The 27,528-nt window shown below is 35.4% G+C and overlaps 1 protein-coding gene and 1 long non-coding RNA gene across 39 annotated transcripts in view, besides 1 other annotated feature; one reads left to right on the top strand and one right to left on the bottom strand.

Annotated features, from left to right (window-relative positions):
• The window catches only part of PTPRD (protein tyrosine phosphatase receptor type D), a 2,298,757-nt gene extending 2,279,279 nt beyond the window's left edge, over positions 1-19,478 (bottom strand). For 37 of the 38 annotated variants that reach the window (XM_017014961.3, XM_006716827.5, XM_047423649.1 and 34 more), the window contains exon 1: positions 18,874-18,981. The gene's annotated coding sequence lies outside the window, so the exon portion shown is untranslated. Of the gene's footprint in view, positions 1-18,873; positions 18,982-19,163 lie in introns of those variants that run through there. The other variant, NM_002839.4, reaches the window with a different exon arrangement.
• Positions 19,423-19,632: a silencer, noted in NCBI's record as "silent region_19773". NCBI's record gives its function as "represses an Ori minimal core promoter by ATAC-STARR-seq in GM12878 lymphoblastoid cells {active_cell/tissue: GM12878}" and the evidence as "EXISTENCE:reporter gene assay evidence [ECO:0000049][PMID:35858748]".
• On the top strand, positions 19,682-26,896 carry PTPRD-DT (PTPRD divergent transcript). The gene is made up of 3 exons (NR_110696.1): positions 19,682-19,902; positions 23,093-23,145; positions 24,337-26,896. It is a non-coding gene; the product is annotated as a PTPRD divergent transcript (long non-coding RNA).
• The last annotated feature ends 632 nt before the right edge of the window (positions 26,897-27,528 follow it).

Raw genomic sequence — 27,528 nt, forward strand, 5'->3', positions numbered from 1 at the left:
CAACATATAGAAGAGATTAGGGATTTTGAAGTCACCAGTGGCTTCAGATCTGTGTTCTTGTTCTAAATATGTCTATATTTATTTAAGGCTATATCATGAATAGTCCTGTTTTAATATATATGACAGACTTCATATTAATACAAAGAGATTTTGAATTTTCTAAAAATTTTGGCAGACAACATTTTTTATCTTGATCCAGAGAAATGTTAATGAATGATTTTAAAATGAAGGGAAAATCTTGAAGCAAAATATGTTTTTCCATAAAAAAACTAAGCCTATTTGTAACCTTGAAAAAAATGTCTTTTTTTCTTATTGCATAGACAGAACACAGGAAATCTACAATTTCCAAAATATTTCCTCCAGCCCCAAATGGTGCTTTCTCTTTTCATACAAAGCTTTTCTCTCTCAATGCCATTACAGTTTTCTGCTTTGTCTTAAAAACATTTATTCAGCACATAGCAACATTAAGTTATTAAAACGGGAAGTATTGAAATTTTTCCCTTTCTCGCTATAAGAATAACTAAACTTTTTGTGTTGTGCTTCCATCTTTTCTACTTATTTTAAATCATTTATTTCAGTTGCTTTCCCCTTCCAAATAAGTTATAGCCTGTTATGTAGAATATGCCTAAACAAGCAGATTACATAATCTACTTTACTATAATTACAGAGGACACTTTACTTCTAGTTTTGAGAAAACATTTGTTTTCTATGCATTTCCCTTAAATATAAATGAAGGAGAAATTATATTGCACATGTCTTCAGTAAAACTGAACTGTATAATGTTTTTGCAGTCCTTATTACTGACACTAGAAGTGCCCTTTTATATTTCAATTTTCATTTAACTAAATTCAAAAAGATAAAGCACCTATGAAATTATGATCAATGATTAATACCAAATCAGTCTAAATGCAAGCAAGAAGCTTAATAAAGCAAAAATAAAGTGATGCTATTTATACCTGAGTTTTCAGTTAATTTATTTTCTTTGAACTGCTGATTGCCTTGAAAGGCAGATATAGAAATGCCTTCAATAAAATGCTACATTTCTCAAACAACCTGCTATGTTGTTGGAGTTTAATGGCTGACAGACTAATGAGAACGAATGGCTTACAATCTTCCAAGACTGACCCACTTAGTCATTCACACCATCCATCGAATGAGAGACTGCTTCAGAGGTACAAGGTCACACCCTTGCAACAATTATTCTGTCTAATGAGGTGTCACAAGAAATCTACTGGTTCAAAGGTGTGTGGTAGGGGCAGCTGGGCATAAAATATTTGGTGTCCTTGCACCGAAGTGTAGATACACATTTCTGAGCAGCTCTTTGTCACAATACCATATTAAATGAAAAATGCTACTTAGTTATGGAATCATTTGCACTTTAAAGAGATAGAAGTGATACAAATTTTACTTTCATGTTGTCAAGGATTTGTTGGGGTGGGGCAACTTCGGAGACATTTTCCCCCCAAAGCTCAATGACAGGTTGACTTAATTATTCAAATAACTATTTATAGGCGATAATTAGACCATATGTTAATCTCAGAGTTTAAAATAACCAATTTGCTTATATTGTTTCGTTCTTGTCTAACTCTGCAGAGGTACAATTTTCAGAGTGAAAATGAGGCTTAGGTCAAATCAAAGCATCCATTAACATATTATTGTGTCTACAGAAATCCATAGGACTGTATTAATTATCTAGGCAGCTGATGTAAAGAATTTTTTTAGTGTTAATTGCTAATTAAAGAAAATCAATGGTGAAAAGTAAATTAAAAATAAAAAGAGATGAACTATAAAAGATAATGAGGCAATTTACAACTAATTGAATAGCTTTACACAAATTTTCCCTCAAATAGCCAATAATTACTTCCAAATAAGTTGGAAAAATCAGTGATAATTCAGTAAGCTTCTTGGCTCTAAATTTCTGCAAAGGGAAGCAAAGTAGGACCCTTTAAAACATGTTTTCTTCTCGGTTGGTACACCAAATAGGCTAATCTTCCATAGACAAGTGGGTTCTTTTTGGCGGCTCATTTTGCTACACAGATACAGAGTCACACCTATGATTTAAATATAATTTGCCTATATTATTTAATATTTCTGGGTACTTTTAATTTAATTGATTCACAATTATTATTATATATTTATAATAAAAAATTAGAATTATGTACATATGTCAGTGATCTGCATTAGCTGTTTTCCAAAGCACATCTTAAAGTGGATTTTAAAATAATCTTTCTGTAAGCTCTAACACTTTACTAGTGGGGGGAAAGAAGCTAATATTCCATTATATATCAGAGTACTTTTTCCCTTATACATTTAAGATGTTTTAAAAATTAAGAACATAATATGATATCTTACAATAAGATTGTCAAGTGTATATCAAAGACTGCGATCTAAAAGAGAAAGGATCAGATACTGTCATTGCCTCCACCCTTTAATCGTGTGATTTGTAGTGCATTTCTTTAAAAAATTATTAAAGCTATTTTCCTTTCAAATCGTTTTTCTTCTAATCCACCAGTTATATACACACAAATAGATACATGCGTTTATACCTACATTTGCTGTCTGATTTATTCCTACAAAAACACATTAAGTTAGATAATAGGATGTCTGTTTCACAGATGAGAAAATGGCAGTTTTCTGACTCTAGTAACTGTCTCACGTTCAGTAATCCAGTAAGCACTGAAGCTGGAACGGAAATCAGAGTTTGACTACTTCTAAATCTCAGGTTCTTTAATAAGACAGAACTTACATTGAACACACAAAAAGTAAAAGTTGTTAAAATTTCCCAAAGAATTTTATGTCTATAGTAACATATATGTTATACCCATATACACACACATATATGTTAGCTAACTTACTCCCATTTACTGAGCCCCTGTCATACAGAGACACTAGATTAAGCCTTTATAGTCAAATAATTATGAAGGTATATTTTGTTCTAAAATAATGTTTTATGGTTATAAACAATAACTAATTGTAAAGGCAGTATAAATTAAAAGAAACAAAGAATAAGCACATATATTTAAATGTAGACTACTTATTATGGAATGGCATAATTTAATGATTATATTAATTATTTTGTAATAAGCAGGGAATTAAATAAGTTAACCCATGCTTCCACATTGAGTGTAATGATAAACATCCCTAAGAGCTGGTAGAATGTGAAAAATTAGAACCTAGTAGTAAAGAATGGGAAGTTAAAGAGAAGAAATTTACTTTGTCAGGGATAATATGATTTATATATGTGAGAACTGGCTAAATTCTAAGGTACTAGCTTCATAGTTGTTAATAATATCTGCTTTTAATATTAGAATAGCATTTTGTTACACTGCATGAACATGAAAAACGTGCAATACATGAGACATGACTGGTAGTAAAAACCAAGTCTTAGGTAGTATATGTAATTTTCCCAAGTTAATCAAATAAAACATAAATATTTATAGGTGTTTTTTAAAGGAGCTACTTCCAACAGCCTAAAAACATGTAACTATCTTTGTGTGATGGTTATTACAGGGTCCTATCTAGGTTATAGTCTTGGATTTATTTTCCATATATATATATATTTCACATATATATTTCACATATATATATTTCACATATATGTATGACCAAGGATTGCTGGAGGAAACAAATGCTTTATTACGAATAGTACAAAAGGTAAGTTAGGACATAAAAGGGTTCCAAAAACAATTTCTCTCCAAAATATGTTACTTGGTACCAAGACTGCCCCTTTTAATTGTTTATCATATGCAAATACACATGTTACTATCTTTATATCCTATAATAACTCAATATTTTATTTGATTTTATTTATCAAAAGGAACTTTATAACAAGCTATGCTTCGAATGAATATGCTTTGAGCACTGTCAGGGTTTCATTCTTCAAATAAATTTACTCACTTAATGTAATGATTCACCATTTGACTCCAAAAAGATAAACTGGCATTTTCTTAGCATTGGAATATCAAATTAGTAGAAATCAAAAAATGCAGTTGGGCTTCATTTAATATCCACTTTAAAATAATGCATGACTTGAAACTTTGTTAAGGAGTTAAAACAGCTCATTTAGATTGGAAAATATTTTTAATTAACGCATTCTGCACTTCAACAGCAGGTTCTATAATGTAAATGCAGTGGTAAGCAAAGATTTCATTAACTTCCACCAGAAGTCCCAGATTTAGGAATATCGGCTGTAATTAGAAAAATTAAAGCTACACTTCAGAATTAATTGAAATTATTAAAGTATTTACTGTTGCATTATTTACACCTAGAATGTCAGCAAGAAGCATAAACTTTCTAGTGAATAATTCTATAGTTTATATTAAGAACATAACAGGACTTCCATTGAACATTGAGTCTTTCCAGGTGGGCCTTCTATAAGCTTTCATCGCATTTTGATTATCTGGACAATTACATAAAAACTCTTTGCTGGGAAAGCATGACGGCTAATGCATTCTTGATGGATGGGTGTGACGTAATATATAGGCATTTGCTGCCCTCATGAAATCTACCAGCAGGACTCACTGGAAACTGAGATATTCTTATTGGACAATTGCACTGTGTATGGAGTGACAAGAAAGCCACAGATTGAGGTCCAGTTTTCTAAATGTAGAAGATAAAACATGAAGAGATGTGAATTATAACTGTAGAGTATCAGTGTTGTTTTTGTTATTATTTGATTTTCCTTAGATATTACTCCGAACTTGAACATATTATATTCAGTTTTACATAAGTATTATACATTTTGAATTTGCTAGCTCGAAGTAAACATTTCTTCAGAAAGTAAAATTAGCCTAATATTAAAATTTTAAGTAAATAAAACTCTGCTCATGATTTCTGCTTGGAACTCACCAATACAGCAAATGCAGATACAGCAGCATGGAAGGGACATAATGGTAAAGATATCACAGCAACATTTTAGAAACCTTCTATAAAATGTTATATGTTTAGGTTATTCTGTGCAGAAAATAAAATTATCCAAAAAGCCAGTCACATTCCTTATTGCACAGAAAGCTGGACTGGACGTTGTCACCTGGATTCTAATTTCACCTTTACTTCTGAGAAATTTGCCATAAGAATTTGGCATTCAACATTATGGAGCCTCTTCTTCCTCATTAGTGAATTAAATGTTTTGAACCATTTTTATATATGTATGTGTGTGTGTGTGTGTGTGTGTGTGTGTGGTGTGTGGTGTGTGTGTGTGTGTGTGTGTAGATGGATAGACAGAGAGGTAAATAGGTAGAAAATCCAAACTAGAGTAGATAACAAAATATCTGAATCACCTATTACAGATTCAGAGAGTAAAGGAGACTAGTAGATGATATAAAGAAAGGAAGAGAAAGAATGTATGACACTACCAATTTTTGATATGATGAGGAGTAAATAGGTAAAACAGAGAATACAAACTCCAGTATCTATTTTTCTGTTCCTCTTACTAATAACAGCCACTCTCAAATTTTAGCTAGGTACACAACTAAACAGCTATGGGACTACATTTCCCAGCTTCACGTGCAACTGGGTATGACCACTTATCTAGGTTCAATGGCACTGACATGGAAATTGCTTTGTGCGGCGAAATTGGACCTATTTTCCTTGATTTCAATTTAGTCCATGATCCAAATCTGACCCTGTAGATGAGGACCATTCCCTAGGTGATGATCGAGCAATGTGATGGCAGAAACCTGTATCTACGAATGACCATGAAAAAAACCATGTCATCCCATCAGCCTGAACTACTCACCTTACGACTGTTAAATGATTATAATTGAGTTATTATCTGAGTATGATGATTATAATGACCAATAATTCCACTTTGTTTCCTATACTTGTTTGGGAAGTCTTATGGTTACAGTAGCTTAGTCTTTAACTTATACAACAATGAATGCTGAATATTTAAATTATAATATGCACTTTTCTACTGCAGTGTAGCATATGGGTTAACAAATACTTTAAATGTATTTGATTTGACATTAATCAGGAATTCTGACATATGACCCCAAAACTTGGGGACAGGGTGGTTAAGAATTCTTAGACTGGCTATTCTATGGGCATAAATAAACAAATAGGCAAAGAACCACTGTTTGCCAGGACAAATATTGCAACATTTTCTTCAAAGTTTGGTCATGAAAATTTCCAAACTATTCTTCTATTCATTTGGTTGTTAAGTTACTTAATCAGAAAACTCAATTTTAAGATTTTACACATATTGAAATGATTCAAGATTGCTCTATTTTAAAAAATAGCCTATTTTTCTCCTTCACTTCTCGAAGTTTTCATCAATAACAGAAGAGCTTGATTATTTCCCCTTCTAATCAGAGGCTTTTACGCTTCCCAGTTATTTCAATCTCCCCAACAGATCAGCATCAATAATCATCATGCTTAATCACTGACTCAAAGAAGCAGTCTCCCAATATTATGGGTTCTTTAGATGATAGGAATATTTTACTATTGATAATATTGACATTTTCATAATTGCCACATTATTTTTGGCTTGTGACCTAAAGAAAGTGTTCATGTAATATATTTAAAGGTCATTTAAAATACAGAGATGGAGGTTGTAATTGTATTACTTACTTTATTTTACCACATAGTATTCAAAATCTGGATTACCTTTCCTAAGACATATCAAAATTGATCAACTTAAAATGATTTGTTTAAACCATTATATAAATCAATTTTCTTTAAAGATCTTTTTTAATTGGTAATTCCATAGAAACTTGGTCATATGTTATATAAATATTAAAAAAAGTTTTCTGGAATTTCTTATTATCAAAGCTACACTTTAAAAAATCATATCATATACACTCTCCCTTTTTAATCTGTATCCTTCTTTTCAATGTAGATTTTATGTTGTACAATGCGTGCCACAAGCCCAGAAAGTACACCCAATTTCTTAAGATTGATGAGAGTAACTCTATACATGCCATACTCAACAGATGTTAGAGCAACATCTCCAGCAACAAAGACCTGGAGCTCAGCCAATCTGTGAGCAACAAAGTACATGTCTACAGAGGCCAGGCTAAGTAAGAAACTCACACAGCTCCAGGATGGTGAGCCAAAGGTAGCTAACCACTTCAGAGTTGGCAGGGGAGACACAACATAAAATTTAGCTAGAGGTCATTACTTTGTATGGCAGACACTGGCTGCTGCTGGGAAACAACAGAAAACTGATCAATTTGTTGTGCAGAATAATATAGTAGGTGGTTCATCATGAGCAAATCCACAAAAACAGAGGTCCCTCAAAAGTTGGATTTCATGGTATATATGTTATTAACTAGAAAGAAGTCTCATACAGAGTACTATATATGATACTCTGAAATCAGATTCAAAATTAGTGCTTGAAGAGAAAATGCATATAATATTACAAAATATGAGACAGCCTCTCCAACAGAGAAAAGGCAATTATAAATCTTCATTATCACATCATTTTCATCATAAGCTAACTAAATTATTCAATTTAAACTTCAAGGTGTTTTTAGCTTTATTATAAAATTCTACAGGGGAAAATAGCAAGAAATAAAGATGAAAAGGTAGTTTGCAATTTAGGTAATGAAGATTCCTTGATGTCACACCAAGATTTTTTCTTAACATTACCCTACATTAAATTAAAAATAATAATATTTTAATCATGATCATATTTGCATTTTAAAATTCCCATTGGTGGCAGAAAAAACGAATAGAGTAAGTAAGGTAGAGTCAGGGAGACAGTAGGTAGCCATCCAAGTAATATTTGGTAAGGCCTTGAAGTAAAGTTATGGCCAAAGGGAAGAATTTGATTTAAAAAAAAAATGTTGGCCTGATAGGACTTGATCACTAATAGGTATCATTTTTATGGTAGGCCCCTACTGTGCTAAATGTGGAGGCTACCATAAATTTGATGAGACAACCTACATTTCTAAAGTAATATACTGTCTTACAGTTGCAAATTTTGCTTATTTTAGCTAAATAACTGGACTTACTACATCTGTTTGTCTGTGGAGACCTAATCCAATATATCTTGTACTATATATACTGTATTTTCAAATTATATTGCATATAATGATTATATTAAATATCTAGAATAGTGACTACAAAACAAAAACTTTGGACCTGAATTTTATATCTTCTTTCTTTGTAAAAATAAAGGAAATAAAATTATATTATTGCTGATGTGTTAAATATTTGAGGACTTCTTTGTGTTGCTTTTTTAACCACTGCTCCTTCTCCAAGCTTTTCAGCGACAGAAGGCAAAAACTCTAGCTCATAACAAACAGTTTAAGAGTTTAGCAGTTCCATGAAGGTCTCCAGTGGAAAAGTTTACATCATCAAAAACTGCTCAGGTTGGCATATTTTCTACTCCTTAATTCTCATTTACAACTGAAAATTCATTGAATTTTCTTAACAAGTAATCAGAAGACCTTAGGGAAGAAAGGAGCTGTCTCATAGGGGAAAAGATAATCCAATTATCCTGTTCACTACGTGTTTACATATCTTTCACACCTGAAAGGAAGAGATTTGGTGCTCATGAAATAAATGTCACAAAACAACTCAACTTTAACTTTCTATTTTATATATTTTAACTTCCGATTTTTGTATGTATTTTATGCATCCCTCCTAATGTAGGGAAACGCAATTTTGTATATGTGCTTTGCCATCTTGTGGTATTAATTAAAATTTTAACCTGACAAATGTATACCTGAGACATAAGAAGTGTCGATCCAATTCGCTGTGAAAGAGCAAAGGTAATATTTTTCATTCAATTTTTAAAATTCACATAACATTTCTGATAATTTCATATAACAAAGACGTTTCTCTTGTCCTTTCAAAATTAGGGCACCAGGTTTCAATCAATACACAGGCAGCATTTCTCATATATTAGAAGCCCAATAAATGTTTACTGAGGATTATTTTATTCAACTTTTTAAAAAAATTTGATGAATATGGAGATAACAGTTTCACTTTCATCTCCAGGTAATCTGAAGATTAAACCATGAGTTATGTTGTAACTCTGTGTCAGGTGAGCAGCCATGCTAGATATAAGAACAGTGATCAACGTATGAGAAAGACAAATAAGAAAATAAAAGTAATTTACGGTTATAATCAAGTAAAATTTCAACAAATTTAATACAATGTGACGCAGTGGTGTAAATAAGAGACAGAATAGATGGCAATGAGGCATAGGTAATACATAGTTCACCACAAATAATTGTAATTAAAATGACTCTTAGAAGGCCAATTTTTGGTTTTCTGCTTCCTACTCATTTCTTTGCTGATTATAATCAGTATCCTTACATTTTATCTTGCATCAGTTAATCACAACAGTCTCATTTCATTATTATGTGGGGCATGCATTAAAATACTCTGAATTATAGTAACTGGCAGATGGGACCCTGTTGATCCTAAATGTCACTCCACTCCACCATGAGCTTATCTTCCCTACCTCCACGTTGCTATTCCACCATGCCTCTCATATGAGGTGAACTAACTCAAAACTCTTGGTTGGTTCAAAAATTGTGGCTTTTGGTCATGGATTATCAAGTACAACAAGGTGTTTAAGGAGCTGATATACCATAAAATCTGACGCCAAGAGGCTGTAGAGGTTAGAGTGGTAGGAACTGAATGAATTAATCTTCCCAGGAAAAGGGACCCGAGCTTGAAGGGCCACCCCAGGGAAAGGCAGAGAGCACAGCAGGTTCTCTTTCTGACAGATTGGAAATCCCAAAGGAAGAAAAAAATACACTCAGAAGCATTTGTGCCACGCTTAACTCTCAACTTTGGGAGGAGATACACTGGAGTTAGTTTTCCTTGATATGATTTGCCCTCTGCTTCTTTGTTCCCCTGGGCAGCACTTTTACAGTATCTGTCCTCCTGCATTCACATTTGTGATCATTTACTTATGATAACTTGTGCTCACTTCATTTGAAAGAATTTGTCTTATAAAAGCAGATCCACAATCTCACACTTTTTCTGCTTTTCATGTACAGAATCTAGATAACTGTAGCATTTACCTTCCGTACTAATATGCACATCTGGGAAAATACGTTATTAACTTTAGGCAACTTAACCTCTATGTGCTTTAGTTTTCTCATTTATAAATCAAAGATAATGATTGTACCAACTTCACAGGAATGATATGGGTATAAATAAGTTAATGCATGGAAAGCACTTAAAATAGTGACTGGCAGATATGAAGCAGTCAATAAGTGTTGGCTATTATTATTACCTTCTATCTGAAGATTTCTCAAGAACTCATGAGGCAGTATATAAGAGATAAAATTCAAGAAACCAAGAAGAATAAAAAGATCATAGTGACCTTGAAACCATCTCTGATTTAGAAACAAAAAAGTGTAATTACATACTTCTTTTAATCCCACTACAAGAAGTGATAAACTACATATGAGCTGCAGATTATTATATGGATGAGAAGGATGAATGAGTTGTAAGAGAAATGCACAATACAGACAATAGTATAATCTATTTAATAATGTTAATAACACACCCTTTAATTGTTCATAAGGCCAACATAGTCATTCCTGTGTGTCACCATAGCTCCCTATGAAGTTAAAAAACATAGGCAGAAGAGGGGAACTTGGCAATAGAAACAGAAATAGGAAGAGAACTGATGAGTAATGGAGGAAAGAAAAGCCTGCCATGGTGAGGACCATATATTCTGACCTATTCTGACCATATTCTGACCTAGCTTCTTCATCTCTGTATTCAGCAGCATTTGATTCACACCAAAGCATTCTTGAATATGGCCTGAAATTCCTTTCTCTTAAAATAGCTATCTATATCTGTATCTATAATACCATCAGAATATCTCTCAGAATGCACTGATGTAATACTTCAAAAAGCCAGTATGAATGTGTCTTAGTGAATGTGTAATTTGTTTTATTAAATCCTGGCATGTTTTCCAAGTGGGAGAGGTGTATGGGAAAATAGGAAGACTTCAAGCCCCTAAAAAAAATAAAAATAAAAAGGAAGGAATATCCTCCTGAGGGGCAGGAAAATGGGAGAATAAAGCACTAGACTTAATCCCTGAGACAATTATACTGCAAGAAAGCCTTGTTGCTTGCAACCACACAGGTATAAATGATGAGGCTAAGCTATTCTTTCAGAGCTAACCACATATGTTTCCTAGGAGAAAACAAATGGCTAGCACATATGACACACAATAAATACATCTATTCAGAGGAGTTGCCACTGGAATTCTTACACACTAAAATTATAAGCCATGGTCCATTGAAACAGGTACCATAGATAAGTGTTAATTGAGAACTAATTGAATGTATTATATAATAAAATAGGAAATTACAAATGGGAAATATTTTTTCTATACTTGTGATGCACATAATTTAGCTTTAAAATTTACAGGTATAAAAGTTTTTTGAAGGTGAAACAATATATCATCTTGGCACTGTTTTTCAAAAGTTCCTGCTGAGTAGTACTTTGATAAAGGTTTTCAGGGGGAATAAAAAAGGAAACTCTTCAAACTTAAGTCATAGATGTTTCCATGATTTTTTTTAAGAGAAATCAAGACGTGAACTTAGGGTAACTTATTAACTTCAGCAGTATCTAACAATCCCACTACATTTCTAAACATTTAAATTGCACTTTTGCCTTCCTCTTTGGTTATTTGATCCAAAGTACACATTATAAGTCCTCTTATAAGAATATCTCACCTCAAAAGGTACAGGAAGAATTTCCTCATTTTTCTCTGTCTATTCTCTTTCCTGAGAAAACCAAAGCACTTCTGCTATTATGCTTTGGTTATAGCTGAAAATAACATGAGTCTTGACTGTAACTGCTATTGTATTCTATGAATTTGGAAATATAAGGGACTGGTGCATAGACTGTAAACTGCTGCAGTGGTCTGGCGATTTATTTGTGTTTTTATATTGTGTCAATATTAGGATAGTACGGCGTATTTTTATCATGCTTTACTGCCTTTCTAGAACTTTGGAGAGTTGAACACACATAAGGAATTAGCACTGGAGTGAGAAGATGATGAAGGGTGCCAAGAAATTCCAGTGGAAAACAGCATAGACTGCAACTGCCTAATAAGCAACACAGCTTCCACCTAGGTTCTAAAAGCAATAGCTGTGACTCAGGATGACAGCAAAGGAGAAGGACAATAAGGTAAGTGTAGATACGTATCTGGAAATTTTTCTGTGATATAAAGGGAGAAATGCCTTAGGGAAGAGATTCCTTTTTCTCTATGGAATCAAAAATTTTATGATAACGTGGATACATTTTATAAGACCATAAGATGGTCACAATTGGGTAGTTTCAAATTGCTAGCACATGGCTGTTTTACTCAGCACTCCTTGACACATAGGAGACTCAATACATATTTGGGACTAGATAATATTATATGATTTATGCTGCCGTATTATGCATATTGCATAATCCTGACTAGTGATTCTGACTTGACAACATTTACAAGCTTGAAAATAGAAGAGGGTGCAACCTCTGCAAGTAGTTTGAAAATAGAAGAGGGTGCAACTTCTAAGAGTAGTGCATAATGTGAATATGGTACCTGAATTATTGTCCTATCCTTGATTTCTGTAGCAAAATCAAACAGGAATTACTATGGTTCATGAATAAACTGTCCTTCTCAATGGTTCCAGATGGTTATATTGTTATCAACAGCAAAAAAACGGAAAAGTGACAAGATAAAAGTGTGAGCCAGACTTCCCTAGAAATCTGATGACCACCTAACCCCAAGGTGAAAGATTTATCTTTCATCCTGATAACCATTTGGGTGAAGAATAAGAAATGAAATAATTCTGTCTCTAGCGTGAGATTAATGAGTCACTCCTTCTACCATTCTCTACCCCCTCCATCCTTTTCCACTGAGTAGAATTTCTAACTTTGATTATAAAGATTTGAGGCCAATTATTGGGAAAAAATCCCAAGGATGCTAGCTTATGTGAGTATTTTTCCTAAATTCTAAATACAGGTTTTTCGTAAGTGGCCTACACTGGTTCCACTTTAGAAACAGGAAACACTCCATTACTTCTTCTTTATTTTCTTTTTTTTTTTTTCTGTTTCTGTGCTCTAAATTAACCTTTCCTGGAACTTGAGATAAAATATGAGGTTTGGGTTATTTTCTATGTGGTATAAAGAAGCTATATCTAGGCCTTTATCTTAACTGAGCAAGGACTATTTAACCAGACAAGGGAATGGAAGTATTCCTATGATACGTATGTCATGTTACATGTGGGTAGTAGTAAAAAATGCATGTGAACACAATGCTTGCCTGGCTTTGTTCTCTGTTCGTGTAGCTGCTGAAGGAGTCCCCTTTTTAACACAAACTACATTTGAGAACTATAACTTTGGACAGTTTGTAAAATCTATAATTCACAGAAGTTCTAATATGATGAATGCATTGAGACTTCTGTAGCTGATTACGTAAATATTTGCAAACTTAAAAATGAATTATTTCAAAAGTTCATGAATTCTGTATTTAATCATAATACTTTAATTGTTCCCTTACAGAGTAAATCAGATAGCATTATATATGCAATGATTCATACAAGGCATCCCAGTAGAAAAGACACACATTTAATTTAAGCTATCTCTGATCTCATGTGAAATGTATATAATCGAATATGAAATTATTCTCTTCCTTTTTAGCATCTAATGTAAGTAAATGTATTTGAGAATATAGAGGTAAAATATTTTTGCTTCATGGTTATTTCAAATTTAAAATATTTACTTATTATAATATAGTATTTAGAAAATACATGGACTCATTATTAAAGGCAACGCTTTGGTAATATGGTGTATTGTTGAACTTTGATTTAAGAACTAATTAGAGAGCAATTTGTTATGTTACATACTAGTCTAAGTCATTTCTTTTTGACTGTTTGATTATTATACATACACTTTTAAACTTTTGAGTACACCATTTTCACTAAGTCCTATTTTGAAGAGAACAGATGTTTTTAAACACACACAGATACATAAATGCTCACATGCAAACACAAAATAAAATGCAATTGAAGTCTCTACAATTAATCAGCTATATTGGCTATATTTTACAATTTAAAAAAATAAGTATAGCATGATCTCCCAGACTTCAGTGATTTAAAATGTACATTTCATAGAGATACATATCTACTTGCTGCAACTCAAATATTCCTATCACATATAGAAAACAATTGGTCATATTGATTTTCCTAGAAGAAAAAAAAAGTTTCCAATTTCATCAGTTATATCACATGAATTATAATGAAAAATAAATTATTGGTTTTCTTTAAGAAAAGCAAGCATTTAAAATTAACATTGCATATATTCCTTCTTTGTATTCATTTTCCATGATTGGAAGTTTTGTTATTACATTTTTTTAAAGTTAATGTATTGTATCCTACAAGATCAATGAAACTATTTTATTGATAATGTAGTTAGAGGTGTAAAAATTATTGTCTGTGTATTTACTTGGCAATATAGCATGTGAGATGGTACTGAACAAGGATGGAAAACCTCTCTGTGAAACTGGGATATTCAACCAACTTTGATATCTTTTATTTTTGAAGTTCTCAATTTCCTCTTTAAAATGCAAGGGTTCAAATAATTTTTTCTATGGTTCTTTCTAGCTCTTACAGTCTACATGTATGTAAGGAATAATATATATTTATTTAAATTGTGCATATTTATCCAAATGTGATGCTGCAAAATAGCATACATAGAGATTTCAGAGTGGGAAAAAGGAAGACCAAAGACACTAAGCATCCCCTTTTACTTATTTTCTTCTCATATCCTTCTGATATTGGGTACAGTAATAAAATCCAAAAATAATTATACATGTAATATGCTCTCAGTGGCAGCAGCATAGGGTCATTTAGAGAAACTTGAGTCCACCTCTTCCCTTCCATAATCTCCATCCTGCTCCTTCAAAAACACTCCAAATAAACATTCAATCTCAATCTACGTAACAAGAGTGTCCAGGCACTGCTGACCTGACTTCAGGACAATTTCCTTAGCCCTCTTTCAAACAAGATGGCTGCCCCTAACTCCTACAGGATTCTCAAACTGCCACAGTATAATCTGAGAATTTGCAAAATGCAACTTCAGTTATATTCAGTATATTAGTCACATAGCTTGAAAGACTTTCAAATTGCTAAGCCAATTTATTTACCTGACAGAGGTACAGAGAGTCCAGATTACCTCCTTAGGGTCACACTTCCAATTGTAGTGATGAAAGATAAACTCAAAACCTTTGTTACTACAATCACATCAGTGTTCTCCTAACGGGTAATGTTCATTTTTTGATTCTTCATTAATTCTTCTTCATTCAGTGAATTTTAAGAGTTTTGAAAAGCTTGTTACAAGTACAGTTAATGTCTACATTGTTTGACTGTATCAGGAGACATTTATTTATTCTTTACGGATGCCAAATGCTTTTGACAATCCTAAAAAAATAAAACAGTGAACCGACAGTAGTGGTAAAGAAATTGCACTTTAATACATAAGAAGATAAGTTCAAATGGCATTGAACTGGGTACAAAATTCTACTTATTTAATTTTCATTATAACTTTTAAATTAGCATTCTTGAATATTTGTCATATCATTTGCATTGTTAAAGTTTATTAAATTCAGGATAGGTGTAAGCCCAAAAATATGTAACTGAAATTAAAGTGTTTCCTCCAAACAACAGAGAGAACTTGAAATAATGTTATTTGCTGCATTAAATGTGAGACATACATAGATAGTAGCTAGATCAATAGAGACACATGGATAGATATATTTAATTCTGTAATTTTGAAAATCACATTTTTTTCAGAATTTTCTAAAAAGACATTAAGTAGGTAAGTTTCAAACATGTAACATGCATTTCAGGTCACCTATTATCAAATTATTATATAAATTCTGTTCACTCACCACCCTCTACCATAATCCAGTTTTAGAATTGTAAAGTTACATTAATCACACTTCTCTAACTGCAGAACAGTTTACACCAGTGGTAACCACAATAATTGTCATGTGCACTATTAGTCATTCCTAAAATTTTAACATAATATTCTGCTAATTCTTGGATATAACTAGCAATATTTTAGCTTTTCACTTACTCTCCAGCATTATTAAAGAAAAATGTGCATTTGCAGAACTCTGCACCTGCATACATTTGGATTCCTGCATCCTACTAGTAATACACAGGAAAGATATCATGGCATTCCATAAAGAATAAAGCAAAAAAAGTTATGAATAGCTCAACCTTCCAATATCACATCTAATTAGCATTGTTTTCTTTCTAAATTAAGTGTATTTAGTAAATAGTAATCATGCCTTGAGTTCCATAAAATATAAGACCATGTGGTCAACAAAATCATCTTTATGTTGCTATAGTTACAAGAGTAGGCTTGTAAATTTTATGTTAATATTAAAAGAAAAGAAAAACATGTTTGCCTTCACCAACAGCAACTGAAAGCAAATGCAGGTATACAGCACTTTATTAGAAAGAACCCCTTTAGTAAGCACATGTAAGAGGAATTAATCATTCATTCCCTGCAGACTGCTTATGTATTTCATCGGGCCATTATCTGATCTGAATAACAAGAACAATTGCATAATAAAACACATTACTGCTGACACTAGCAACTTTCTTCTCAACTTTAAAGTTGCAACTACCTCTGTACAGGACAGAGAGCTGGTGGCCAAAAAGGTGACAATTTAATCACCCATCCTGCTTTGCCATTTTTATCTGTTATTATATAGAGACAGGGATCAAATGCATGTGCAAGCTTTACTAGAAACAGCTTTCATTCAGGCTATTTTCCTTAGCACTATGACATAATTACAACAGAGGCAGAATGTATGTCAGGTTAGTTTTAATGTTACTTACAAATATTTGCTTTCAGAAATTCAAAAAGAATGCACAAATCTGTCATGTCTTCTCTACTGTGTAAAATATGTCCTATACTAATATATGTAATAACATGTTTGAACCACTGTTAAATTTGCCCTACTTAGGTACAATCTTCCCCTTTATTTTTCAATAATTAAGTTTTTTTTTTTCCAAATATCAGATAGCCTCTCGGACATGTGAGGTCAGAAATGAGTAGAGGTTATGTGCTATAATCCAAATCTGATCAGCCAAGGGCTTCATTTTAAATCACTTAAATTCATTTTTAAACCAATAATAGAAATGTTAGCTAAGAGCAGTAATATGTCTAAGAAAACTCATTTGGATAAGAAATTAAATAATAATCAAGAAACAATGACACATCTTTCTCAAATGATTCCATATATGATAACTTCATGTCAACCAATTCATTAACTGTTCTATTGTCCTGTCTCATTACCCTAAAAACTTATGGCCCAAGATATTTAGAGCTTTCAACACTGAGTAATCAAAACAACTCTAAAACATCTCTACTTTTTTGTAATAATTGTAACTTAGCTTACTCTTATAATTTCTAAAACCAATCCCCCATGAATACAGATGCTTTTATATACTCACTTAAGTAAATAAGGAGGTAAAAATATACTCATTCTACCATTATCAACAATTAAATACAAGGAAGCCCTTAGGTATAATTAATAATAAGCTGCTTTATTGAAAGAAATTCTCTGAGATAAGTACTTTTACTTTTCAATCTGGTTTTTAACTTATAAGGGGTTTTTATTAAAAAGTATGTATTATACTGAGAAAGAAATTAACAGTTAAAGATAAAAGGGATAAACTTTTTCTAATCACTATTAGACTCTAGTCAGTATAAGTACTACCATGTCAAAAAACTTAGGATTTGTTAAAAATCAGGTCTGTTTTGTCTAAGTTGCAACTCCTACTGTATCTACTGTATATGTAACAATGCAAGAAGAATTAGATTCAGAATCCATTTGGCAGTGATAAAGAAAAAAATGCTGAAATGTTATTGATTCTCTCCCTCTTGTGCAAAACAAACTGAGTCAACTATATTTTTCCTGACATAACACAAAGGTTTTATTTAGATATTACAAAATATTGGCAAATGTTAGACTACATGTTTTTTATATATATGTATAATGAACTTATTAACCCTTTTGTAGAAAGAAGAGTGTCCTACTTCTGTAAAAAGAAATGCTACAGCTACTGACATGGTGATGTTAGCCCCAAGAGGAATACTGCCTGCAAAAGTTTTTGATGCAGAGATATTCAGCCTTAGGAGACACCTTAAACCTGTCACTGGCTGCTGAGCCCTGTCAGAGTTTATAACCCGCTGTGTCAAAGTCACAGTCTCAGCCCTGCCCTCTCCAAAGTATTTTTCACATTCTCTCTCCAAATTAAGTTCATTCTAATTCTCCAACTATTCTAGTTCCAGGATTTTCCTCCAATTATTATCTCCTTACAGGCATGAAGAAATCGCAACAGAATTTTCATCTGGTCTTTCAAACCATCCTTATTAACTTTCCCTTTTCCGCCCCCCCCCCCTTTTTTTTTCTAGAGCTTTTCAGAACTAAAGATAAAACAACCAACCAACTGAAGTCAGAGTAGGGTGGGAGTTAGCATGGATTAGGGCTGAGGTTGAAGGTGGCAGGAGAAGTGAGCCAGTAGGGTTAGATTTTTCAAGCTTTTTCTAGATAACCACCCTTAAATCTTAGAACCAACCAATGTTTAACAAAGCAGGCTTCCAATAGCCCTTGAACAATAAACGTTTAAAAATCAGTTTTCCAGTAAGGCTGCCCATACTGATCCCATATCGAAGTCTTCTAAGGGCTCTTCCAAAAAAAAAAAAAAAAGAAAAAAATGCTTAGCGAACCACTTCTCAAATAGGAGCTACTGAAGTTATATAAGTCAAGTTATTCCCAGGTAAAATGAATAAACTGTCCACAGCATTGGACATTGGGCATTGAAAAGCATCAGCATATGCTTCACTTTAGAGAAAAGAAAGACAGAAGCACAGTTTACTTACTAAAGCAGCCGCTCCAGTCCTCCTTGGAAACCCTGAGGAGTCTTCTCTTTTCTTTCCTACCAGTCAAATAAAGAATTGTCTTTCTATTCCACACAGGCCCAGAATAAACTGCAAAAAGGGATGGCACATGCACAGCAGCCCGTCAGGGTTTGGCTTTGGTGGGGTGCTTCGATTTCTGATTGTTTCAAAAGTGGGATCTTCTTTTCCGGAGGGAGGGGGCAAAGGAAGAAAAAGAAAGCGCGCTCGGAAAGCCGGCTTGGGTCCTGCTAATTATTCTGAAGGCAAAGTACCTGCACTCTCCCCGCCGAGGCTGGCTGGCGGCGCCGCGCCGGAGGGGAGGAGGCTCGGGAGGAGGAGGAGAAAGAGCAGCGGGAGGACTCGGGCTGGGAGGGGAGCGCAGGGTTGGGGAGGCCGATGAGCGGCTCCCGGCTCCTCGGAGAAGCAGCCGAGACGGCAAGGAGGAGGCGAGGCTCTGTCGGGGCGAGGCGCTGCCCCCACGCGCTCCGGCCGCCGGCTGCGGGCGCGGCTGGGCGGGGAGCCGAGGCGGCCGCTCCCGCACTCGCTCGCTCGCTCGCTGGCGCTCCCTCCTCGTCTCGCTCGCACTCACAGGCACACACCCCACGTCTCCAGCAGCTGCCGCTCGGCCTCACGCACTCACCTGCATTTCCTTAACGAGCCACTTGATGGCTGCCAGCGGCGTGGGCCCCGCTCCGGCGGGCGGGGGCCGGGGCGGGGAGAACGCGGCGCGGGATGCTCCGAGCGCCCGCTGGGGAGAGAAGCGGCGGCGGCGGCGGCGCTGCGGGCGCGCCAGATGGGGCGGGAGGAGGGGAGACCCGGCACCCACCGGCCCAGAGCTGCCTGACGCGGCCTGGGCGGACCCCGCCGCCCGGGTGCCTAGGCACGATTCCAGGGATCCAGGGTAAAGCGGTTCGCGCGGGAACAGGAGGATATGTCAGGCACAGGCTATTCCCCATCACTATAGCCACAGAGGACTGGTCCAGATGCGGATCCCGATCTGTGCTTCTTCAGGTGTTCGCGTGCTTTCGGTTATTATTATTATTATTATTTTCCGAGGGAGGCTGTCGGTAACACCTAAGGGGTAGTGGGTGTTAATAGCTGGGGGACGTACATTTGATTTGCAATGGAATCGATGCTTATGAAGAGCAGACTTAGGGAGGTGAAGGGCAGGGGCACAGGGGTTGCTTGGCGGAGGGGGTGTACTTCGGCTGAGCTGGATGGAGTTTTCAGTCGGGGCGCTTGGCAGTCTGGCTGGGCTTGAGGGAGGGATAGAGCTCTGCCAAGGTGGTAGCTGAGAAGGGAAAACCTGTACAAGAGTTGCTGAGAATATGCCTCGCTGCAGAGGAGAGGACATGGATGCAGGGAGCGGATTCTTCCCCACCTCCTCCTTACCCCAAGGTAGAGTGGGGTATCGGAGTGCATCAGATGTGGTGTACCACAGACTCGGGAGACAGGGGAGGAGGAACTTAGACCCCCAGCGAAACTAGAAATAAGGTTTGGAGCTGGGGGGAGAAGAAGGGGCAGGATGAGAGAAAAACAGCAGGAAGCTTTTTGTCATTTTACTATCTTTCATGTCTCATCAGAGCATACAGCTATAGGCAACAAATGCTCTGTCTCTTGATAAACAGAGAGCAATGTCACCATGTCGGTGCGTTTTCTAAAAAGCCAAAATAATTATCCTGTTTGTAATATGCAACACAGAGCATTCCAGGTACCATCTGGTCAAAGGTTCTGTAAGCACTGTAGAAGAAAACAAATAAAAAAAGAACAACGAAAAACCAGTTATCCATCTACTTTCCTTATATGTCAATGATCTAATCGCAGAAATGTCACTTTCTCCCGAAGAGAAATAAAGCTTAGTCACTATAGGTGGAATTTTCCCCAGGGTCCCTTCACCTTTTTCTTTTCATACCTTCTCCACTGCTTGCTGTGTCCCTTTGCTCTTTAAAAGGGACCCTTCTCCTGAACCCACGCGCTGCCGGGTTCCCTGCTCAGCCTCCCTAAAGCCACGGAGCCTACCCATCCAAGAAGGTTCCCATGCACAAACAGTCATCATCACTTAAAAAGGTTCTTGGAAATGACAAGATATGAACGAAAAAAAATTACACCATATGTGCAAGTGTGTGTGCATGTGTACATATTTTTGTAATTATACAAAGCACTTGCCCCTCTTACGGTGCTGTCTCCCCAAGATGATGATGACTGACTCATATTCTCTCTCTCTCCCTCCCTCCTTCTCCCTTTCTGCACAAATACACACCACTCACTCCTGTCTCAGTTCCTTCCTGTCAGTGTTCAATAATGGTTTTACATGAACTTTCTGTTAGGCAGCCTCTGACTACCAAGGGCGAGTTGGAGTGGATTGGTAGGAGGGAGGCTGGTCTCAATGATGCCGCTCTGTTTCCTGCCATCCCTCAGTCATTACATACACTACTGTACTTAATGCCAAGTAGAAGCAGAAATGATTTCCTCTCTTGCTAGTCACAATAATATATTTGTCCTCCCTCAGAAACACAAGTAATTAATAATAAAAGAAATAATGCATCTTGAAACCATGGGAAGAGCAGATGGAGGCTGATGTGGTTGTGTTAGTCACCTTTTCTGTTGTTGTTGTTGCAAAGACAACGTGACCACCTCTCCCTTTCTACTGCTTCTGGTGGGTTAAGCAAAGCATTTGGCCCTTTTACTGTATTCTCTTTTCCATCTTTCCCTTGACAATAGTTTGTGTGTTTTAAGTAAAGATTTCATTCTGCCAACCCGCAGGAAGCTTTTAACAAGATGCAGCTGAGCGTGTCGATATCTTATATCTTTTTACTGCTGCATGGGGGTGTTCAGCAACTTGAAACTCTTCTCTACTTCAGCTCCAGGCTGGGATCTCACAGAGACAGTGCTCCCTGGGGCTGATTTACTCTTGCTCCTGTACAACTATCCTTTGGTGTCCTCTGGAAAACAAAGAATATTTTAAACAATGGAAGAATCAGTGTTATACTCAATCCCCTTCCTCCTACCTCCTCCCCACATAATAATATCACAAATGTTCAATGGATTAGCTTATTGTAGAGATTTTATTATTAATTACATCTGAGAATTGGATTGAGATATCTTACTTGAAGGTGATTGCACCAAGCTTAAGGAGTTAAGAAAATTTTATTATCTAACTACCTAGCTACACTTCCTGTAACATTATAATTTATTTCTCCTTCTTCAATAAAAAGGCAGATGCAAATGTCCGCTTTAAGTTATTGCCATATATTTACTCTTAAAAATCAGTAACCTATCTGAATTGGTTGTTGTCAGTGGACCACGTGTTTAAAACAACCATAACAAATGTAAGATAAAAATAACCAAAAAGGGACAGTGAAATTGGGCCAACAAAGCATGGTCCTGAATATCAGTTGCTTTGAGGTTCCCTTTATTTTAACACATTTCTTTATTTATCAAATCTACATTTAGCTTTGTTATATATAGGCTTATAATTAATTTTAACAGCCTGCTGTAAGGAGAAGAAATCTCAAAATTTACATTTGTATTTTGGATTTTTGAGGGAAATAAGTAATTTCCTTCCTGACTCAGTTTTTAAATTAGAATTTGCAATACATAAATAGCAACTACACAGCAATAATTTCCTGTTCTAGTATGTTATTTAAATGTTTTGAGAGCATCATGAGGAAATTTCCTAATTATACAGCACTCCATATTGTGGAATTGAATAAAGAGATAATTCCATATTGTGGAATTGAATAAAGAGATAATTCCATAGTGTGGAATGGAATAAAGAGATAAAAGGGTAATAAGGAAGCCAGGGAGAGCAAGTAACCTGTTGGAAAGGAGACAAGGATCTAGGAGGTGTTCGAAGCCCAATCTGTAGGTAGGTTGGATTTGTCAGCAGTAGACTCTCACACTTTGACTATTGTTTGTTTGTTTGCTTTGCCTCAGTCTGCAGTAATGGTGTTCACTTAATTTATTCTCCCTTTTCTCCACTTTTCGTTCTAAAGTTATGCCACTTGGCAGAAACTACAAGTAGAAACAATTTTATATTGATAACATAAAATCATGCAGAAAACCATGTACTTAATGAATCAAACTGCTCATACTTATTTCATGTGGGAAAAGATAATCTCCTGCTCTTTAACTTTTATTTAGTCAATGGAAGTACAATTTCAATTGACTAAATGGGTATAATTTACCCAATTTCTTATAGATGGTTGGATACCAAGAAAGCTGCTCAGGAAACCTTACAACACAATGGAAAAAGTGAGTTGACTATATAATTATTCAATGAGTTGTCTATATAATTATCCAATTTAAGGAGTCTTAATGAAGTCATATTTGAGATGGTTGTAGGTACAAGGTATAGATGTCATTCCACTGAAATCATGATGTAGCTAATGCTAAATTACACACAATCTAAAGGCTTCAGGTTTTGACATAATGTACACATTTATTTTCTCACTTATTGTGCTGGTAGCTTTCTATCCCTGCCCCTCTATTTAATCCCAACCTCAGACCCCTCATGTGCTCTTTTCTGTGCTCTATGGATTAATCTTTAGGTATTGTACTAACCTGGTTTCCCTTGTCCCCTGGTTTCTGTTTGGGTTTTGTCAATGAGAGGCACCAGAAAGGGGCAGGAGGAGAGAAAAAGCAGGGCCATGTTTCCCCCATTTGCAGCATAACTTGGCACTGTGGTTCTTTCTGGCAGTGGCTACACAGTCTTTTCTTGTCACCACCTTTCCATAGCTCTACCTCATATTTTCCCCCAATATCCCCATTGTATCTGTTGCTCCTTCAGCTTTCCACTATGGCTAGCAATTAAAATAGCCAGTATCCCTCATGGGATCCCATAACACAGCTACCCTTCTAGAAAGTATCCCTTATCGAAATTCTCTTTAAAATGATTCCTGATTGTGCCTTCCATTTCCTCCTGATACTCTGAATCATCCATTTCTGTTTTTTAAATTCATAGTATTCAAAGATATAATTTTTATTCAATTGTCCTAGGTTTAACAAATATATTGTCTAATGTGTAGAGAAGTGCCAAAACATTATTATTACTCAAAATGAAAATAACTGTAACATACCACAAGAAAATGTTTGATGGTACAGCTGTGATGGTAAAGTTCATGTGTCAACTTCAGTGGACTAAGAGATGCCCAGATAAATAGAGAAGCATTATTTCTGGGTAAGTCTGCAAAGGTATATTTGGAAGACAGTAGTATTTGAATCAGTAGACTGAGTTAAGAAGATCATACTCACCAGTGTGGACAGGAATCATCTAATCCAGTGGGGGCCAGAATAGAACAAAAAGGCAGAGGAAAGGTGAATTCTGTCTTGCTCTCTCTATCTCACTCTATTTCTGTCTTTCTCTCTCCCTCCCTCTGTTACTCTCTACCTCTCCCCATCTTTCCTTGATCTGGGAAGCTGACACCCATTTTCTCTTGTGCTCAGACATTGGAGCTCCTGGTTAAGCCTTCAGACTCCAGGAGGCACACCATTGGGCTCCTCAAGTTCTCACCCCTTTGGTCTCAGACTGAATTATACCACCAACTTCCCTGGTTCTCCACCTTGCAGATGGCAGATTGTGGAACTTCTTGGCCTCCATAGTTGCATGAAGCAATTCTCATATTAATTCGCCACTTACATATCTATACATATTCTCTTGGGTCTGTTTCTCTGGAGAACCCTGACTTATACATGACCTTCATGTATAGCTAAATAACAATGTATTAATATTTTCCACAGAGGTGTCATGTCTCTGTATATTAAATGATCCAAGGCCAGGCGCGGTGGCTCACGCCTGTAATCCCAGCACTTTGGGAGGCCAAGGTGGGCAGAGGAGGTCAGGAGTTTGAGACCAGCCTGGCCAATATGGTGAAACACCTTCTCTACTAAAAAAATGTTAGCTGGGCATGGTGGCGCACACCTGTAATCCCAGCCACTTGAGAGGCTGAGGAGGGAGAATTGCTAGAACCTGGGAGATGGAAGTTGCAGTGAGCCAAGATTATGCCACTGCACTCCAGCCTGGGTGACAGAGCGTGACACTGTCTCAATAAAAATAAAAATATATGATACAGATTCATCAAAATTATAAAACTACCTCAGTTTTTAAAAAACATGTTTGTCACTGTTTTATGGTATCTGATTGCAAAATTACAATAATGATGGCTAGTATTTATTAGTTGATGAAACACAACCATAATTTGTAAGGTATAGTAATTCCCATCAACTTTAGAAACTGAATTAGCAATCAAAACTATATATATCCATTCTTTTAATTATTTTTAAAAGCCTATAATAAGGATGTTAAAGGTAAAGCTAAGTTTTCAATAATAACCCTAAAATAACTGCATTATGCATATCCTTTGGAAAGAAAGAGAGCAATGAGGGATGGATTTAAAATATTCTATCTACCAAGTTATTTTATGCAAATAGTTTTTAAAATAACATCATATAAATTAACAAAGATCAGGGCAAGTTCCTTAATCAAAGTAAAATATTAAATATAATTTTAAAGAGAAAATTTAATAGTTCCTATGAGTTTTTTGCCTATTTTGACCTTAAAAATTAATAAACAGTTATCACATTCAAGATCTTACCTATACATATCTACTTAAGACACTGTAAATTTTGCTTCTTCTGATACTGAGTAATGTTGCATTTTCTTTTATAAATGAGACATAAGGATGATAGCAACCACACATGCACACTCCAGAGATTGTTCTAACTTCCCTCCACCCCTTCTTTTGAAACAGGGTCTTGCTCTGTTGCCCAGCCTGTATCACAATCTCAGCTCACTGCAACCACCTCTCGAAGTCAAGCAATTATCCCACCTCAGCCTCCTAAGAAGCTGGGACCACAGGCGAGAGCCACCACACCTGGCTTATTGTTTTTTGCATGTTTAGTAGAGATGAGGTTTCGCCATGTTGCCCAGGCTGGTCTTGAACTCCTGAGCTCGAGCGATCTGCCACCCTCTGCATCCCAAAGTGTTAGGATTACAGGTGTGAGCTGCATGCCTGGCCTAACTTTTTCAGGTGTATTAACACTATGCCATCTAAATTTTGCATCTAACAAAACTCATTTTCAGAAAACAGGTTGATTGGAGGTCATGGAACGGTTAAATATTAGAGCTGAGACTTGTATCCAGGCAGTCTGGCTCCTGAGTCTCTGTGCTTAACCAATATTCAGTGTTATACAAATCGTTTTCTTAACTCTGTATGCCTTTTCTTTCCTAAGTTCAGAGGCTTCCGAAAAATTTAGCTGAAAGTGAGAAATTCCTATTCAGTGAATGGAGACTATAGAGTAGAGCCGGTGCCAAAGGATAATTGTGGGACCGTCTCAGAGAACTAAGTTTCAATTTTTAAAGTGGGTCTTTTAATTTATATTTCTATTTGAGTCATTTTGTATTTTATTTATTTTCATATGACCAATCATCTTGTGTTCCACATATCTAATGATATAATCAAAAATTATATAGAAAAGAGTTAAACAAATTTATGATTTTTTCTAACTAAATTATTTACAAGTCTGTTCTATTACCATAATTTACTATATTTGCTAATTTTCCCTTTTGTAAAATTATTTTTATCTATTCACATTTTCTTATTTCCTACCTTCATCTATAAACAGGAGAAAAAAATTATGTAAAGCCAGTGCCTCTCTTTTATAATAAGGGGTCAACTATTTGGAACCTCCATAAGATTTCCCCCTTTTTTAGTGAAGGACAATATGTTTTTCAGGTACTTACTCCCGACCTTTGGTTTATATGTAATGATATTGTGGCAGGAAAAAAATATAGTGGCCTTTATATATACCACAGGCTTTATGTACATTTTAAATATTTAAAATTGTAAAATGTTAAAAATGTAAGTAAAAGGAAAACAAGATGACAACCATATCATTATGAGACTATTATTTTTAGCATTATAAACTTACAGATGATAAGCCAATTATACTATTTCTTTTTATGGAACGATATGTAAAGTAAATAAAAGTAACAAGTATATACACATCTTGTTTTTCATGTATCAATATTATAGCACACAAGATGATTTGACCCAGCACCGTAAGTTTTAACCTCATTTTTACAGATGAAACAACTAAATGCAGTTTGTGTGAAGTGTTCATTTTTATATGGCTAATGAGTGATTGAGGTCCTTCTATTTCCTGGAATCCTCTTATCTTATCATAACTTAAAGAATAGTACTAATTTTAAAACATATTACATGTAATGTATTTTTAAAGATATCTGTAGGAATATATGTGTCTTATTTAAATTTAGGAAATTTTTGTTCTTTAAATTACAATGTGTGTGTTTTCCTAAGCCCCCACTCTCATATTCTAAGAAAAAAAAATTACCACATTAATGTTTTAAACAATTTAAAATAAGAAATTAAAAAAAAGACTGCTATGTTCAGAAAAGGAAAGCATCAAGACTTCTCACAGGAAGTCTTCTAGAGAGGGTAGTAAAATGGTGTGCCTAGTGAGGAGTCATCTTTTTTTGTTTTTTGTTTTACAGAGTCTTACTCGGTCACCCAGGCAGGAGGGCAGTGGCATGATGTTGGCTCACTGCAACTTCTACCGCCCGGGTTCAAGCGATTCTCCTGCCTCAGCCTCCCGAGTAGCTGGGATTACACGTGCCTG

Source organism: Homo sapiens, chromosome 9 (genome assembly GCF_000001405.40).
Source record: "Homo sapiens chromosome 9, GRCh38.p14 Primary Assembly".
Taxonomy (NCBI): Eukaryota; Metazoa; Chordata; class Mammalia; order Primates; family Hominidae; genus Homo; species Homo sapiens.